Genomic DNA, 19,193 nt, shown 5'->3' with positions numbered 1-19,193 from the left:
GGCTTGGTGAAGAATAAAATCTAAAAACCGAACTTCCTTAAAAGTAAAAACTTGCTGTCACAAAACACCCTGTTAAGAGGATGGGAAGACAAACTACAGACCAGGAGAAAATATCTGCAAGCCACATATTTGACAAAAGACTCTTAGGATATATAAAGAGCTCTCAAAACTCAACAGTAAAAAAACAATTAGAAAATAGAAGGCTACTAGAGACTAGGAAGGATAGGGAGAGATTTGTTAATAGATACAAAATTACAGCTCCCTGGGGAGAATAAATTCTAGTGTTCCATATCACTGTAGAATGACTACAGTTAACAATAATATATAGTTTCAAATAGCTAGAAGGAGGATATAGAGTGCTCCCAACACAGAGAAATGCTAAATGTTTGAAATGGATATGCTAATTACCCTGTTCTGATCACTATACATTATTATATGTATTGAGACTTCCCTGTGTAACCCATGAATATATACAATCAGCCAGGCACAGTGGCTCACGCCAGCATTCACTTGTTCTATTAGATCTGCATTTAATTTAACAGTCTGATTTTCTTTAGAAAACAGACAAAAAAATCATAGGATATAGACTGTTTCAATCAGTAGCAACTAATTGTAATCCCAGCAATTTGGGAGGTGGAGGCAGGGGGATCACCTGAGGTCAGGAGTTCAAGACCAGCTTGGCCAACATGGTGAAACCCCATCTAGCGTACAAAATTAGCCAGGTGTCGTGGCACATGCCTGTAATCCCAGCTACTTGGGAGGCTGAGGCAGAAGAGTCGCTTGAACCTGGGAGATCGCGCCATTCCACTCCAGCCTGGGTGACTAGAACAAAACTCCATCTCAAAAAAAAAAAATTATATATATATATACAATCATTATTTGTCAATTAAAAATTTAAAAAATTTTTTTTTAGAGATAGGGTCCCGCTCTTTGGCCCAGGCTGGAATGCAGTGACATGATCTCAGCTTACTGCAGCCTCAGTCTCCTGGGCTGAAGCGATCCTCCCATCTCAGCCTCCCAAGTAGCTGGAACTATAGGCACACACCACCATTCCCAGCTTATTTTTTGTAGAAATGGGGTTTCACCATGTTGCCCAGGCTAAATTAAAAGAAAACTTTTTTTTTTAAATTTTTTATTTCAATACCAACATCTGAGAACACCAATACTGTCCAGCATTCACTTGTTCTGTTAGATCTGCATTTAATTTAACAGTCTGGTTTTCTTTAGAAAACAGACAGAAAATCATACAGGATATAGATTGTTTCAACCAGCTGGAAAAAAATTTTTTATTAATGTTATTCTTGCTTCTTAATAAACTTGCTTTTGCTTTGAAAAAAAAAATTAATGTTATTCTTTTATACCTTCAAGAAATCTGGAAACCAAGGGTAATAGTAGCAAAAGTCAAGATTTGTTCTGTAGTCAATCACTTGATTTGATTATCTTATCTCTTGATTATGTCATGGAAGTAATAAATTACTGGTAGCAAGCAAAGATGTCTTTTCATTAGAGATGTAAATAAATCCAGCCTTGGGATTATTCACTGTGTAGCTCAGCAAATCCCTAAGATCACATTGCATAAAATGTTACAAAATACCCACCTTTTAGATTTGGATGCAGAGTTTTCAGTTCCTCTAAAGATGGTTTAAGCAAGTTATATCTGTTATTTTCAATGTTTTATTTAAAACATGACATTTTGTTCAAAATTACAAACATGCTTGTGATTTTTATAAAATCGGCCTGACATTTGTAGTTACATGGTAATTTATTATGTGCTATAAGGAACTTTTGTAAATTGACCTAATTTCTTATTTTCTCTTTACAGGAATATATTAAAGGAATCTGTGAACCTGAACTAGAAGAAAGAGAATGTTACCCCAAGGACATGCACTGCATTTTTGTTGGGGCAGAGAGCCTGTTTCTGAAAAGCTTGATTCAGGATACTTGTGCTGACCTCTGCATTCTGGACATTGGCCTTCTTGGCATCAGAGGAAGTGCTGAGGCTGTGGTCATGGCTAGGAGTCACATTCAACAATTTGTAAAGCTCTTTGAAAATAAAGAGAACCTACCCAGTAGTCAGAAAGAATCAGAGGTGAAAAGGGAATTCAAACAATTTGTTGAAGCCCATGCAGACAATTACACAATGGATTTGTTGATTTTGCCCACTTCCTTGAAAAAAGAACTTTTGACACTCACACAAGGTGAGGAGAATCTCTTTGAAACAGGAGATGATGAGGTTATTGAAATGAGAGATTCTCAACAAACAGAGTTTACACAGAATGCTGCCACAGGGCTGAATATTTCTAGAGATGAAACTGTTTTGCAGGAAGAGGCAAGAAATAAAGCTGGGACTCCTGTTTCTGAGCTTACAAAACAAATGGACACAGTCCTTTCTAGCTCACCAGATGTGCTTTTTGATCCAATAAATGGTCTAACCCCAGATGAAGAGGCACTTTCCAATGAGAGAATTTGTCAGAAAAGGAGATTTTCTGATTCTGAAGAAAGGCATACGAAGAAGCAGTTTTCTTTGGAAAATGTTCAGGAGGGGGAGATTTTACACGATGCTAAGACATTGGCTGGAAATGTAATAGCTGACCTATCTGATTCTTCTGCTGATTCTGAAAATTTAAGTCCAGATATAAAAGAAACTACTGAGGAAATGGAATACAACATCCTCGTAAACTTTTTTAAAACCATGGGCTACTCCCAAGAAATTGTTGAAAAGGTCATTAAGGTGTATGGACCATCTACTGAACCATTATTGCTCTTAGAGGAAATTGAAAAAGAAAATAAAAGATTCCAAGAAGACAGAGAATTTTCAGCTGGTACAGTGTATCCAGAGACCAACAAAACCAAAAATAAAGGTGTTTATAGCAGCACAAATGAGCTTACAACTGATTCCACTCCAAAGAAAACACAGGCTCACACACAGCAAAATATGGTAGAAAAATTTTCTCAGTTACCATTCAAAGTGGAAGCTAAACCATGTACCTCAAATTGTAGAATTAATACTTTCAGAACAGTGCCAATAGAACAGAAACATGAAGTCTGGGGTTCAAACCAGAACTACATTTGTAACACAGACCCTGAAACTGATGGCCTTTCACCTTCTGTTGCCTCTCCAAGTCCCAAAGAAGTCAATTTTGTTTCAAGGGGAGCTTCAAGTCACCAGCCCAGAGTTCCACTTTTTCCTGAAAATGGTTTACACCAGCAGCCAGAACCCTTGCTTCCAAATAATATGAAATCTGCCTGTGAAAAACGTTTAGGATGTTGTAGTTCTCCTCATTCTAAGCCAAATTGCTCAACCCTTTCTCCACCAATGCCACTGCCCCAGCTGTTACCTTCGGTTACTGATGCAAGGTCGGCAGGACCTTCTGATCATATTGATTCCTCAGTTACTGGGGTTCAAAGGTTTCGAGATACTCTAAAAATACCCTACAAGCTGGAATTAAAAAATGAACCAGGGAGAACGGATTTGAAACACATTGTTATAGATGGGAGCAATGTTGCAATTACGTAAGTCCATTCTCTGCAGATTATTTTATTTTAAATAGGGCTCTAAATGGTGTCTCAGAATCACATGTATATGGGAACTATACATACATGTTGTATATAGTTGATCTGTAGCCTTAGGGTCGGATGGTGGAGGGGAATGGGAACCAACTGGTTGGAAAGGTTTTGTCAGTCCATCTTCTGGATTCATGAACTTTACTTCACCCTGCTGAACTTAATTTCTAAGGGCAAGAGAGGATAGAAAATTATCTTTTCACGTTGCATTGCTCAGTGATATGTAGTATAGTGACTTTTAAGTCATTAAATTCTTAATATTGTGAGTACCATTATGTTCTAATCTAAATAAGAGAACACAGCTTAAAGCAAAAGGATTTTTTTTTATCTTATTATGCTGGAGTATGCCTGATCTCTAGCCAAGAGTGTGCAGTGGTAACAGGTGTGATGTATTTCTGTGGATAGAGCAATGGCAATTTCCTTTCAAAAGTAGTCACTTTGAGCTTCACTGTGGGCCTCTGCTCTTACTAAAAGTTTATAATATTTGTTTTTAGTAAAAGACATCATTTAATGAACCTGTTGTTTCTAGTTAGCCTGTCTTGGAACTCCTCTTAGTTGAAAATCCTCTGATTTGAAACCTGTACGCTTGGGTTTTTTTTCTAAGGGGCAGTTTAAGATCGTGGCTAAGGAGAGTGTGAGGGTCAAGAGCCTCCCTGCACTGTGGACCAGCTGTTTGATTTGGGGCAGGTCACTTAACTGTTCGGAGTTTCAGTTGCTGCAATCTGTTGCCTTCTGACCTGTCCTTAAGGACATCTTTACCATATCATTTCAACAACTATGTAAAGTCTGCCTTCAGTTTTCAAAACCAGTCACCCCATTGTTAAAAGAAAAACTTAGGGCAAATTACATTTAGCAGAGTTGATCTGCACGAACAATGATTTACGAATCTGGCAGCACCCTGAACCAGGAGAGGTTCAGAGAGCTTCACCCAGCAATGAGGGCTGGCAGTATTTATAGGCAGAAAAGGGAATTGCCCTGCAGAAACAGCTTGATTACCTACGGGTTGGCATTTGCCTTATCCAGGCATCCTGTGATGAGGCATTTGCCTTATGTAGAAGTGGTCTGAACAATTGGCAGCCTGTGATTGGCTGAAGCTTGGCTGCTGTGATTGGCTGAGACTCAGCCATTTTTTTTTACAAGAATACTCTTAGGTTGCCATTTGTTCACATACTAAGGTTGCAGGTCACTATGTATGGAGGCACCTTTAGGCCAAATTTAATTTAATTTAACACCATTGATTTTTGAAGAAATATTCAAGGTCTGGCATTTTAAGTAGCCGCAATTCAAGAAACAGGACACCTGGACATGGAATGAGAGAGAAGTTGCCAAATCTTAAAAATACTTTTCTGAATTGCTGAATGTTTGTGTAACTTCTTTTTTAGGAGTTCTGAAAGATCAGTAAATGCCCTGAGTTTTTAAGAATACCTATTAGGATTGAAAAATAAATGTTATTTTTGAAATATATGTTTATAGTATATTTGTAATTTTTTGTTTTGTAAATTTTTTATTAGGATTTTCAAATACATAAGATAAGATAATGAATTCCCAGGGGTTCATCACCCACCTTCAACAATTACCAGCTCGTGATCAGTCTTGTTTCATCCTAGCCCTTACTTCTTCTTTCCACCCCTATTATTTTGAAGGAAATCTCAGATATATGGTCATAAATATTTTAATATGTATTTTTTAAAATATAAGGATTCTTCTGCTTTTTATTATTTGAATGAATTATCGAAGCTGTGTTTTGCTGTCAAAAAGAAAATGTCATCATTTCAGATGTTAAAGTTTGAAGACAGGCAGCAAAAATATGCAATATGCTTATCTTCATTTCCAAATAATACTGTTTATTGTCATTTCACTTTGGTTTTTTTGGCAGCCCTGTTAGGGGAAACCCAGCAAATGATCCGCAGCTGCATAGCGATATCTAAGCAAAAATGTCACTTCAGTCACCCACACCCCAAGCCCGGAACAAGTTCTTCATTGTTACGATTTCTTGAGCCAACTCGTGACACAAAATTTAGGTCACAATTGTGAGCAATTCTCATCCTCTTTCACTTTTCTATATGTGGAAGGATTTTCCAAATAAGAAATGCAAGGTTAACGTAGAATGAGCAGCGATCCTGATGCTTTTTATAAACCTTTTGGGGTAGTTAACAGGCATATTTCTCAGCAGGGTCACTGTTGGAATTTAGAGTGGTGCTGCCTATCCGTGACAGGATGTTTTGCAAATCTAGTCCCTCCCACTTTGCTTATAATATCCTTCCCCAGTCGTTGTGACACCTCAAACACACTCCTACATATTTCCTAATGCCCTGAGTACAGTATCATCTCTTTTGAAAACCACCAATTATTACACTAAGGGAAAGCTGCAAGCTTTCTTTTTTTATTTCTTCTTTTTTTTTTTTTTTTGGAAAACTGATTGTTTTGGGAGGATTTACATTTTCTTTGGATTCACAGATGTCTCTGTTTAAAGGCAATACTTTTACAAGAGAATGTGTTACTTTAAGAAGACAGACTTGTACTTAATTTGATGTAAATTGATCTGAAAATATCAGTAATTAAGATTTACCCATATTCTAGGAAGAAACTGCGTAATGGGTATAGAGTTTTATTTTGGAGTGACAAACATTTTGGAACTAGATGTAAGTGGTGGTTGCACGGCATTGCGAACGTAGTAAATGCCATTGAATTGATTATTTTAGTCGTGTGAATTTTACCTCAATTTTTTTTGGAAGTTGGAAAAAAATCAGCCCTTATTTTAAATCAGTTGCTTCAATGTTAAGTGTGAATAAACTTTGACTAGATTCCATGAAGAAACTGATTTGTGTTTCTTCTGTTCAGTGAACTACCTCTAATACCCATAGTCCCTGACACATAGTAGGAGCTCAGTAAAAACTTGTTGATGAATTAAAGGCAAATTAGAATTTTTCTTTTTTTAAGAGGTAAAGTCTCACTATTTTGCCCAGGCTGGACTCAAACTTTTGGGCTCAGGCAATCTTTCCTAGTAGCTGAGGCTATAGGCATGCCTTACCATGCCCAGTTTAGGATTTTTTTAGTGGCTTTTTACTACCTATTTGTAACTTCATGGTTACTATTCCAGTGGCCAGTTTAGATTTTTAACTGAGGCCATATATTTAATGCAACAAATATTTGAGATTTTAAAGCCGAATCACCCATTATTATGTGTCAGGCACTGTATTTTTAAAAATGCAACCTTCACACCAATTGTGAGTCAAAAGTTATAATTTATACAACATGAAGTGGCTTAAAAATGTTTTCCAGGGTTACATGGATAGAGATTTGGGCCCATAATGTCTTTCCCCAGAGCTGCTGTATACCCTCTCTCCTCCAGCAGAAGTTAAGGTTGGAATTTTCAGGCCAACGCATCATTGGATACTTAAGTCTTGGGTTGCATAGCACTGCTGACTAAAGCTCACTGATTTGACCCAAGTAGTTGGGGAAGTACTTATTTGGTCCTTAAGCAATAGGATCTGTTGGTGTGAGCCCCACCCTAAAGCAGCCTAGGCCCACCCTTCGATGTATTTTTGTAAAGCCTTTGTTCATTTGCCTATCCAGAATGAGGTCTGCAGCCCATACCACCATGAAAACCTCCACAGTACCCTGTTTAATGCTGCCAATTTTGTATACCTTGTTCTTGCCCCCTTGTCACCATGAATGAGTCAAATGATGAGTAAGTGGAAATTGTTTGTGGTGTATGGCTAGACAGCACAGTAGTGGCCAAGAAACATTTGGGCTCTGTCAGCCTGAAACTTCAGCATGAGAGCCCCTGACATATGGGGTGATAGTTTTCCATGTAGATGGGGTTTGCCCCTTCCCTTGCCAGAATTAAGTATTTTAGCCATTTTTTTTTCCATACTAGTCTTTTCCATATTAGGGTTCCATAAAAAGAAATCGCTTTTTCCTGGGTAACTCAGAAAGGACTTTCCATTGTCCCCACACTGCCCTGTCTGGTGCTATGGCTGCCATGAGTTTTTATCAGCTGTGTGTCACCCATCTCTCCTCCACTTTGGACACTTTCTTTTAGTTGCCAGCATTCTATAATATGGCAAACAACCAGATGATATAACCTTTAACCAATTATATGGAAGCAGGCATTTAAATGTCTTGAGGGCCTGGACACCTGGCCTCCCAGACTTGATAACTGTTCATTCTGCATTTGGAACTGGGAGCCCCAGAGCTTTGGCCTTCCCATAAGTAGCAAGGTGTTATTATATATATACTTTGGGTCGAAATAGACCTTTGGTCTGGGTTTACCTGTCAACATGCTACTCTGGTTTGATTGCAGAGAGGCTAGGAGACAGTGATGAGTAAGCACATGTCTGCCTGCTCAGGGTATAGGACTTGAAGTAGGAAGAAGGGTCCTTAATCGACCCTCTGTATTATTTTGAGGACAATAATTTGGCTTCACTTAATTTTTTGTCATTGTAGTTTTATTTTTTGGGTAAATTTGTATGTTCTCCACCAGAATTTTGAACCTCTATTTTAATTCCATTCCTGAGATTTTTTTAGAGTATCAAAAGTGATATGATCTTATTACTGAGAATAACACTTTGGAATTTAGTTGAGAGCTGATGTTTCTAGAACCTCCATCTGTTCCCCCTCTAGACTTGTAAGGAGTCCAGGGCAGCAGAATTCATCGGTCTGCATTTCCTTCCTTGTTACATAGTGACCCAGTGGAATTGAACTGGGTACTCCTCCTCTATCCAGTTCCTCCTCTTGCCATCACTAGAAGCTTTAAGGAAAAGAGGGAGAGTAGGTAGCACACATTTGTATCTGTCAAAGTAATCAGGGAGCCACCTTAAAAACCTTTTCAGTGCAGTTATCTCAAGGGTTATCCTTTTGAGGACTAAATATACATATTTCTTGGTTTTTCTAAGAACCAGCAGGTTGTTCTGTTGTGGATTTTCAAATTAGGGCTGTGGTTGATGTTAACTCTGGGCATGTCCCTGCTGTTAAGCAATTAGAGTGATGGATGATTTATTGTTTTTGGAAGATTAAAAGAGGCCCCCTTTAAAGAACCACCCCCAGTCTTTTTTCTAGTTAAAAATGTCACTTTGTTACCTTCTTGCCATATTTGAATGCCTTTAGATAAACAAAGCACTCCTGAATTATCAAGATTGCGTGTGTTTATTTACATATATTTTCTGGGGTAAGAGCCTCTGAAATATCTTATTTATGGTTCACTGAAAAAGAAATAGCCTTTAAAAAGAGGAGTCTGTGCGTAGCTCTTGTGAATCTCACAGAGCATTAGATGTTCGTGAAGTGTCCAGCCTCTTCCTGCTCTCAAGGAACGCACATGCAGGTGGGGTGACAGTCCCACTGTGGGGTCGTGGAAAGGGCAGGCGTGAGGAAGCCGGAGTATGATCCAGCTCATCCCCCTGGCTCTGCAACCCAGGCAGGCTGCTCTTTCCCTAGTGACTCCTTTTTCTAACAGGCATAATGCCATTCTATCTCTGTGATTCTCGTGCACCATACAGGATTGGAACTCAGAAGAGGAAGGAGGCTGAGAGAGGCCCTGTGTCTAGAAATAACTTCATAGAAGAAGACGGGCCAGAATTCAGCCCATTCAGTCCTGAGGGCATTTGAAGAAGGAGCAAGGAAAGGTGCAAGAGCATCACACATATAGAAAGCAACATAAGGAAAGGCTCAGAGACCGGGAGGGGTGAGATAGCAAGACCTGGCCAAAACCAAGAGGGTTGTCTCATGGTAGTGGGAGGGTCACTTGGCCAGATCCTTTCTGACGAGTCAGACGAGGAGGGGTCCTGGAAGCCAGGCAGGATTAGTGTAGGACAGTGCCTTTGAAGGCCCTGAGCAGAATCAAAGGCCTTGGGCTGCATTTAAAAGTTAGTTTCACTGGAATTTGCAGGGTAGGTTGGAATTAGGAGAGCCTGGGTTTAACTCGGGACACATATGCCCATCATGGCAGGACTTTCAAGTGAAGTATTTCTACAGAGCAGTTTTGGCATGCAGCATTAGACATGGAGAGAAGATAGGACTGAAGATGCAGGGAGTATTGTCGCTGGAATCTAAGTGACCATTGAAGCAGTGAACATAGATTATGCTAATCTCATAAACTACAGCATCACAGTTTGAGATTTTAGTCTTTTTTTCTTTCTAATACCCATGAGTAGACAAATTACCACCTGCAGAATTTTAAACTTTTAACACTTTTTTATCTCCACGTTTAATTAACTGCTGGAGAGTAAAATTTAAGTACTTTCTTCCTTTCCGTTGAAATGTGTTATGGATGGAGGGGTGGGCATTTTTTAATCCTCTATACCAAGGATTGTAAACTATGGGCCAAATCAGGCCCGCCCACCTGTTTTTGTAAATGTGGAACATAGCCGCACACATTCACTTACAGTTATCTGTGGCTGTTTTCACATTCAGAGTTGGGTGGTATGACAGAGACTGTGTGGCTCTTAACAGAAAAAGTGTGCTAACCTGTGTTCTCTACTGTTCATTGTTGTTGTTGTTGTTGCTGTTCTTTTAATTTTTTTTTTTTTTTACCTTTTTTCCCTGCTTTCTGCATTCTTAAAATAGCCTTTCACGGCCCCCCATTAGTTTCATTTGAGTCTTGCCCTCAACGTGTTTCTCGTAAGCTGTAAACTGGGTAAATATAGCCATTCCCTAAAAAGAGTGGAGCCCTCCTGGGACAGGACACAGCAGCATCTTCGGAGGTTGCAGGGGTTATGACCATGTCACATCTTTGTCCCTTTCTTCTGTCACAGGGAACAAGTATTACCATGGAGCTCACTGCTTTCTATCATAACAACACACCCAGTTAGATTAACAAAATGTGAGAAAAATCCTAAGACACTATTAAGAGTTCTGTCCCCTACAGTGGGTTCCATCCTAACTTTGTGCAACTAAATGCCAAAAATGTAAGAATATTAAAGGAAACTTTGTTCTTACTGTTTGTTGTATGTGTATGTTAACTTTTCATGGTGAAACTTACTGTGCTTTAAACAGAAATAAACTTTACTTATTTTCTTTACTTTGTAATTTCTAGCCATGGTCTGAAAAAGTTCTTTTCTTGTCGTGGAATTGCAATTGCAGTTGAATATTTTTGGAAGCTTGGCAACAGAAACATCACTGTATTTGTCCCTCAGTGGAGAACAAGGCGTGATCCTAATGTCACAGGTGAGGCAAACTGATTTTTTCAGATTTCTAGTGAAATGTTTAATGAGTTGGCTTATAATTGCAACACATGCTATTTAGAATAGAGCTGTGTGCCATAGGCAGCGGCTTTAAAAATAAAATTGTAAATCTACTGCACCTAGCAAAACATCAATTGAAGAGAGTGCCACAGCATCACAAATACTAGGAGGTAGGATGGAAAGTTAACATAGTTATTTATACAGGAAGTTATATTAAGAGTTCATTATATATCACGTTTTCTTTTTACTTTCTAAAAAATGTCTTTTTATTAGGCTGGATTTCTGACTGTTTAGATAGTATTTTTGAAGTCACTTCATAAATTTGGCCCCTTCAAGTTACGTCTTTTTAACAGTCTATTTAAGGCTTAATATAAATCATTTCCGTTAACCATAAAGTACTCTGGCTGACTTGCAGGCCACACACGAAAGATTTGAACTTATTATGAATCATGAAATGTTCTAGAGAAACTTCAGGTTGTTTGTGTCATAGGTCATGATAGGAAGATAGGTGAAGGGGCTGTGCCAGGCAACTTAACACATCAGAGGGCCTGGAAAAATAAAGTAGATTGTGGGGAAGGAGGGTCAGTACAGGACTTGCCCAGCACATTAAACAGGAAGTGAAGTTTAGTCACTAGTGGGGCAGAAATGGTCAAACCACACAGTTCCCAAGTATTCCCAACTTCCCCCATTTTGAAGAGCATATTCATCTTAACAGAGGGTACATAAGGAATGAAGCAGATACACTCATTTTGTTATTTTTGCAATTGGATCCCTGAAGGAGTCTTTTTTTTTTTTTTTTTTTTTTTTTTTTTTTTTTTTTTTCTGAGACGGAGTCTCGCTCTGTCGCTCAGGCTGGAGTGCAGCGGCATGATCTCGGCTCACTGCAACCTCTGCCTCCTGGGTTCAAGTGATTCTTCTGCTTCAGCCTCCCGAGTAGCTGGGACTGCAGGCACGCACCACCACGCCCGGCTAATTTTTGTATTTTTAGTAGAAACGGGGTTTCATCATATTGACCAGGCTGGTCTCGAACTCCTGACCTTGTTATCCACCCACCTCACCCTCCCAAAGTGCTGGGATTACAGGCAGGAGCCACCACGCCCTGCCGAAGGAGTCTCTTAGTGCTTATGTGCTCTGCATTGCTTAAGTCAGTGGTGAGTACCATTGTAGGGAATGCAGGTGTGGGAATCTCAGGCCCTGAGCTTTTAGCTGCTTTTTCCCATTACTGGTTTTCTAAAATGTAGCTTTGACCCTCCATTCTCCACTGTCATCACCCACCCCCATGAAAACTGGCAAATATTTGTATGGACACCTTTGAGAATTTAGATAGGAGGCCAGTAGGAGGAGGCTTCAACAGACTCTTGGCATAGGGATCTTTCTTGTGGTAGAACCATTTGCCCCTCCTATCCCTAGATCTGCCCTAGCCTCACCCCTACCCTCTCTCAGGGTCTCTTATCATCCCTCTCTTTGTCCTCTACTTCTTGTAGTATAGCTCTGAAAGAGTTTTTGATGGTAGGCTTCATTAAATACCCAGGCTGGAGTGCAGCAGTGCCGTCTCAGCTCTCTGCAACCTCTGCCTCCTGGGTTCAAGCGATTCTCCTGCCTCAGCCTCCTGAGTAACTGGGATTACAGGCACGCGCCACCACACCTGGCTAATTTTGTATTTTTAGTAGAGACAGGGTTTCATCATGTTGGCCAGTCTGGTCTTGAACTCCTGACCTTAAGTAATCCACCTGCCTCAGCCTCCCAAAGTGCTGGGATTACAGGCGTGAGCCACTGTGCCTGGCCTACTATTCTTGAGAAGCAAATGAGTTTAATCTTATGTTTAAAAAATAACTGAAGTTAGTTCATATGTTGTTTTTGCCTTAGTATGGGTCTTGCTTGTTTTTTTTTTAATTCCTAGTGAGTTAGTAAAATTGAGTCAATAGAAAAAAGGTTTTCTACAGCTCTCCAAGTGAAACATTTGAGTGTACTTTCATTTCTTGATACATTTGGGAAGATAGCCCTTTTCTGAATGTATATTCAACTTATTCCATGAACAGAACAGCACTTCTTAACCCAGCTCCAGGAGCTCGGAATATTATCTTTAACTCCTGCCCGGATGGTCTTTGGAGAAAGAATTGCTTCTCATGATGACAGGTATGAAAGGCCATTCTCCTTCCTAAGGTTGGAGTGGGGTGGTGAGGAGCCAGCCACCTGCTCTGCTGGACAGGTCCACACTTTTAGAGGACCTGCTTGATGCAGTGGGTTTAATATTTATGGTCATTAAGGTGATATGCTCAGTGATATTTGCTACATAGTTTTTAGAAACACCACAGAAGAAACTCTTTGTGTTTTAGTAAAACATGGCTGAAAATCTATAAGTAAAAGCAGATATTGTAGTCTGGTTGGTAGGTGCTAAAAGTAATGTTTGTCTTGTCTTAGTGTGGCAGGCTTGAAAATGGTTTCAAATATTATCTCCTCTCAGTCTACTTTTGGTCAGTGACTTAGCCTGTTATTGTAATGCCTGGGTCCTCAGGGTTTCTTCTACATAATAGAAGTGTCTGAACTGACCCTACTGTGATAGGAGTAAGCTGCATTTCTTTTCTTTCTTTTTTTTTTTTCTTGAGATGGAGTCTTACTCTGTCAACGCAGACTGGAGTGCAGTGGCGCAATCTCAGCTCACTGCAACCTCTGCCTCCTGGGTTCAAGCGATTCTCCTGCCTCAGCCTCCCAAGTAGCTGGGATTACAGGCAAGCACCACCATGCCCGGCTAATTTTTGTATTTTTAGTTTAGCAGGTTGCAGTGAGACGGGGTTTTTCCATGTTGGCCAGGGTGGTCTTGAACTCCTGACCTCAGGTGATCTGCCCACCTTGGCCTCCCAAAGTGCTGAGATTACAGGTGTGAGCCACCACACCCGGCCTATAAGCCTGCATTTCTTAGCTTGGCATATAACTCAGGAAGCAGGTACTAGTGCATCTGAGTCACCAAGATTTAGTCTGTACCTTTTAAATATTTTGTTTTGTTTTTGAGATAGAGTTTCACTGTGTCACCCAGGCTGGAGTGCAATGGTACAATCTTGGCTCATTGCAACCTCCGCCTCTCAGGTTCTAGCCGTTCTCCTGTCTCAGCTTCCCAAGTAGCTGGGATTACAGGCATGTACCACCACAGGCCTGGCTAATTTTTGTATTTTTAGTAGAGATAGGGTTTCACTATGTTGGTAAGGCTGGTCTCAAACTCCTGACCTCAGATGATCCACCCGTCTCGGCCTCCCAAAGTGCTGGGATTACAGGCATGAGTCACTGCACCTGGCCCTTTTTAAATTTTTTCTAAAAACTTTATTGAGCACTAACCAAATCTGATACACCGAGGTAGGTTCTGGGGACATGCATGATTCAGATGCACCTTCTGCCCTAAAGAATTTTGAGAAGACGTGTGCATAAGTAACAGAAGGGAGTTTTGCTGTGGTTGAATAAGAGAAGGTTCTAAACTTAACCAATGGAAATAGGACCAGTTTTTAAAATCCTCCTCATGGTATGAAATTAGTAGCAAGTCTACTAGTATTTGGTAGCCTAGTGGTAGCTGTTTATTCTTTTCTCCCCTGCATTTGCCCTGTTTATTTTCATCTGGCTTATAGCACTAACAACAACCCTGGTGTTTTCGCCTGTGTTCCACCAAAACACCACTCCATTGAAGATAGTGTTTAGCTTGTGACCCAAGCTAGTGAATGATAGTCAAATGGGTAAGAGATGAAAAGAGGGCCTGGGCAGAGGGATGGGGGGCTTGGGACCACAGCAGACATATATTCATTCACCAAAAGGGCCTTCTCATTGACAGTCCCTTGCCCTGCACCAGGCTGGTATGCAAGACCAGATCTGATGGGTGAGACTCAGGTGGCATGGAAGAGCCGAAAGAGGATACCATATGTGGGTGCCGGGGGGGATAGGTGAGAAGTACTAGAAGGCGGAATGGAAGGACACTTCTGCTCAGCTCTGTGACACGGGCAGGGACCCTGCAGGGCTCAGGTCCTTTAACACAGCAGCTTCATTCTAACACCAGCAGCGTTGGAACACACGTACAAGTATGCAGACTAAGCTCTTGCTTGGCTGATACGGCTTTTTGGGTTTTTAGAGAACATGCATATATGTTCTCATTCATGGTACATGAACTCAGAAGCCTTACTGCCTATTTTTGTTAATACTTCTGGGCAAACATTACCACTTACAACTCACACCAGTTAGAAATCATTTGTAAAATGTTATTTAATAAAGCCAAAGAACTAAATCATATTTATTTTCCAAGGTTTTCTAAGATCTCTGAAACTAATGAGGTTTTTTAAATCCCCATTAAGTACTCATCACTGCTAGTAAAAGCAGTTGTCTTTACCTTTAATTCCAGTGAGTCCCTTAATTTATTTTTTATTATCTTTGTCTACATTGCCTTAGACAAATGTGGTCACCCTAATTTAAGGGATAAAATTCACATCCTCACAGATTTCTTATTAAGAGGGTCTAAGCATGAATAATCAGCAGTGAAATGGAAGTCTTCTTTACTGCTTCATCCTTTCCCTTTTTTATCACCATGTATCCTGTCATATCTTCCATTTGAGTGAATCTATAACTTAGTCTAAACAAAATGGCAATTCTAGATACCTCTTTTTAAATCAGAGCAGTGTGAACCTATGAATTTTTTTTTTTTTTTTTTTTTGAAGCAGTCTCGTTCTGTTGTCCAGGCTGGAATGTAGTGGCACGATCTTGGCTCACTGCACCCTCCACCTGCCTGGGCTCAGCTGATCCTCCACCTCAGCCTCCTGAGTAGCTGGGACTACAGGGAACACCCGGCTAATTTTTTGTATTTTTTTGTAGAGACGGGGTTTCACCATGTTGCCCAGACTGGTCTCAAACTCCTGGGCTTGAATGATCCGCCCACCTCAACCTCCCAAAGTGTTGGGATTACAGGCGTGAGCCACCACACTCGGCTTGAACCTATGAATTTTTAAAAAGGAAAAAGAATTGTAAGGCTGATTGTACTAAACAGCTAATCTTAGAACCAAAATACTGTTGCTCAGTAACTTAAATCTGAATAATGATTTCACAGGCTTGTCAGCTCTCATTCTCTGCTCTGGTCTTCATGCATTCTTATTAACACTGTTTATTGATAATACAACTTTTGAATAAATTATAGTTGAGATCATTTAACAAAAGAAATTGTATGAAAGACAATCTATTTTGTAATCACGCTAATAATTTTAGAGATATTCACCATTCTGATTGATCTTCAGTTGATAGGGGCTAAACTTTTCTGTGGCCTAGCCTTGGTTAAATTCTTTGATGGTTTTCCTATGAAGAGGAAATATTCTCTTCTTATAACATGGCTTCTCTGAGCCAAGGATGCCTGTTGCTGATTTTAAACTCTCTTATATTACCATAGGTTTCTACTACACTTAGCGGACAAAACTGGTGGCATAATTGTGACAAATGATAATTTCAGAGAATTTGTGAATGAGTCAGTCTCTTGGAGAGAAATTATTACAAAAAGGTAATATTTTCTTCTTTGTCTTTGGTCAGAAAAGTTTTGTTTTTAATTGTTTGTTTCTGTGTGCATTTTGTTCGTTTTGTTTTCTATATTCCTTGGCTCCACAGAAGGCAATATAGGGGACCAAAGTATCATAAGACTGTGCTGCACTCCCACTTCATAGGTGGCTGGCCCCTCCAGGTAAGCGGGGGCCCAGCACAGAGCAGCAGAGCTGGCAGTGATGAGTGTGGGCATGCTCTGCTGTCACTGCAGTCTTCTAGGGCATCAGAGTTTTGTTGCATGAAGCAGGAGGTACAGTTAAGTGTGATGGAGCACAAACGGCCTCCTATTTTACTCAGCTGTGAAGTGAAAGGGTGAACTTGATGACAACTGGGATTCCAGCAAGAGGAAAGGACCGAAAGCAATGTGTGCTGACTGGGCTTTCACTTCTTCATGGTCTGGAGAGAATATTTCCACTTTTTAATATCTGATGCTTTTCTGGAGGTTTTTACAGTCATAGTTTAATAATCTATATTGAAAACATCTTTAGATATCATCCAAAATAAAACAAAGTTATGTCAAGAGTTTAGCATTCACTGCTGTTTTTCATTTGTAATAATACTATGAATGTGTCCACTGCTGAAAAATGCCCTAAGATCAGTGGGCACTGGCTTCTAGGACTTTTGGTTAACCAGTATCACCTGACCAGTTATTTAAAATAGAAAGCAAGAGTCTGATAGTGCCAGGGACAAGTGATATAGACCAGAAATCTTAAAACATAAAGTAAGCATGCCCCACACTAAGTATAACTAATATATAGTAAAACTTGCAATATAGTTAGCATAACTAGATATTTATCCCTGTTGGGATTTCACAGTTGCACCTTGCCTGTTATTTATATTTTCCTAAATTATTAGAAGATTTTAGAAAAAGATTCTGTGTTATGAATGCCCAGGTGAGAGTTAATTACTGTATGCATTTTGACACCTATGCTGTTAAAAAGCTGTTGTTGATAGCTGAACCAAGAATTGGTCTTTGACCTTCTGGGCACAGTTAATGAGCTACTAATCTTGTAGGGCATGTTTCTGTTGGACCTCTGCCTGGGCTCATTGTCAGTATTTATTGACACTCATCCATGTATGCATGGAGGGTTTAAATGCAGTCAAGACTGGTGTTCTCCAGCCAAGCTGTTGCTTTCAGCATTCACAAAAACAAGGTAGAAAGGAGACCTGGACAACAAGCACAGGCACTTGGACTTTTAAAAATTATTTTATTTTCTGTTTTCCCCTGATATGATAAATAGTGGTCTAAAGACCTCAGATTTCCTTTATTCATATATGGTTTTCCTTTTTAAAAATATTATTTTCAGTGGATTTGCTTATGGACACATTTATTACCAGTTTTATTCAAAAATTAAACATTTGTTCAGCATTTGTGTCCTAAGCTGACAGTCTTTAAATCTTATTTTTCAAAGTTATATTGAAAGTTATATTAGAAGAAGAAGCGGCTTCCTAAGCCCAGTACAAATCTGCAAGTCTTAATGAGAAATTTGAGGGCCAGCTGATAAAACGTTCTGACTATTGTTTTTGTGTCCAAAACAGAAATTAAAAGGGTTTGACTTGGGTGTTTTCCCCGCTTTTAGGCAGTTGAGCAGTCTTAGGATTTGTAGGCTGACCTGACCGTTGCTTTGGCATCAGGTGGCTGCTTTGGGATCCTTACGCAGGCCCTGGGCAGTGAGGACCCTGTCTCTCAGCCTCATGGTGTTCTGTGTTGTAGGCTGCTGCAGTACACGTTCGTGGGGGACATATTTATGGTTCCCGATGATCCTCTGGGAAGAAGTGGACCTCGATTAGAGGAGTTTCTTCAGAAGGAAGTCTGTCTTAGGTATTTCCTTTTTCAGATTGTCTTGTATTAAAACTTCTATTTCAATTCTTTGTGCTTTAGTGCAAGTGCTGTCTTTATAGACTAAAAATGACATTAAAAAAATTATTTTTTTTTTTTTTGAGACAAGGTCTTCCTCTGTCACCGAGGCTGGAATGCAGTGGCGTGATTTCGGCTCACTGCAACCTTTGCCCCACTGGGCTTCAGCGATCCTCCCACCTTAGCCTCCCGAGGAGCTGGGACCACAGGCGCATACCACCATGCCCAGCTCTTTTTTTGTATTTTTAGTAGAGACAGGGTCTTACCATGTTGCCCAGGCTGGTCTGAAACTCCTGAGCTCAAGGAATCCGCCTTCCTCAGCCTCCCAAAGTGTTGGGATTATAGGCATGAGCCACCATGCCTGGCCAAAATTTTTTTTTTAAGCCTTAAATTTAGTGCTGGTTTCATATATTTGGAAGCTAATGTAGCAAGCATCCCGGATTTTCAACTATAGTCCTTTCAGTTTTCATCCTAGGAAAAGACAGGAGCCAAACTTTTTTTGTGGGTTTATTTTTATTGATTTATTTTTTTTGAGATGGAATTTCACTCTTGTTGCCCAGGTTGGAGTACAATGGCGCGATCTTGGCTCACTGCAACCTCCGCCTCCCAGGTTCAAGTAATTCTCCTGCCTCAGCCTCCCAAGTAGCTGGGATTACAGGTGCACGCCACCATGCCTGGCTAATTTTTTGTATTTTTTTTTTTTAGCAGAAACGGGATTTTGCCATGTTAGCCAGGCTGGTCTCGAACTCCTGACCTCAGGTGATCCACCCGCTTCGGCCTCCTAAAGTGCTGGGATTACAGGCGTGAGCCACTGCGCCCAGCCTTTTTGTAGGTTTAAAAAGACAAAGCCGGGTTTGGTGGCTCACGCCTGTAATCCCAGCACTTTGTGAGGCCGAGGCAGGTAGATAACTTGAGGTCAGGAGTTCGAGACCATCCTGGCCAACATGGTGAAACCCTGGCTCTACTAAAAATGCAAAAATTAGCTGGGTGTGGTGGTGCGTGCCTGTAATCCCAGCTGCTTGGGAGGCTGAGGCAGG

General features: G+C 40.3%; 1 protein-coding gene across 3 annotated transcripts in view, besides 1 other annotated feature; it reads left to right on the top strand.

The window, feature by feature from the left end:
• N4BP1 (NEDD4 binding protein 1) overlaps positions 1 to 19,193 on the top strand; it is a 71,455-nt gene that overhangs the window by 45,914 nt on the left and 6,348 nt on the right. The window contains exons 2-6 of one of the 3 annotated variants that reach the window (NM_153029.4): positions 1,823 to 3,513; positions 10,598 to 10,728; positions 12,785 to 12,881; positions 16,153 to 16,260; positions 18,013 to 18,120. In NM_153029.4, the coding sequence (NP_694574.3) occupies positions 1,823 to 3,513; positions 10,598 to 10,728; positions 12,785 to 12,881; positions 16,153 to 16,260; positions 18,013 to 18,120 (2,135 nt within the window). Of the gene's footprint in view, positions 1 to 1,822; positions 3,514 to 10,597; positions 10,729 to 12,784; positions 12,882 to 16,152; positions 16,261 to 18,012; positions 18,166 to 19,193 lie in introns of those variants that run through there. The other 2 variants (XR_007064930.1, XM_011523482.2) reach the window with 2 other exon arrangements.
• Positions 6,855 to 7,149: a silencer, noted in NCBI's record as "tiled region #9701; HepG2 Repressive non-DNase unmatched - State 14:Gen5'". NCBI's record gives its function as "represses a minimal TATA promoter and a strong SV40 promoter by Sharpr-MPRA in HepG2 cells {active_cell/tissue: HepG2}" and the evidence as "EXISTENCE:reporter gene assay evidence [ECO:0000049][PMID:27701403]".

The sequence above is a fragment of the Homo sapiens genome, chromosome 16 (assembly GCF_000001405.40).
Source record: "Homo sapiens chromosome 16, GRCh38.p14 Primary Assembly".
NCBI lineage: Eukaryota > Metazoa > Chordata > Mammalia > Primates > Hominidae > Homo > Homo sapiens.
This window is presented reverse-complemented; position numbering and strand designations above follow the sequence as displayed.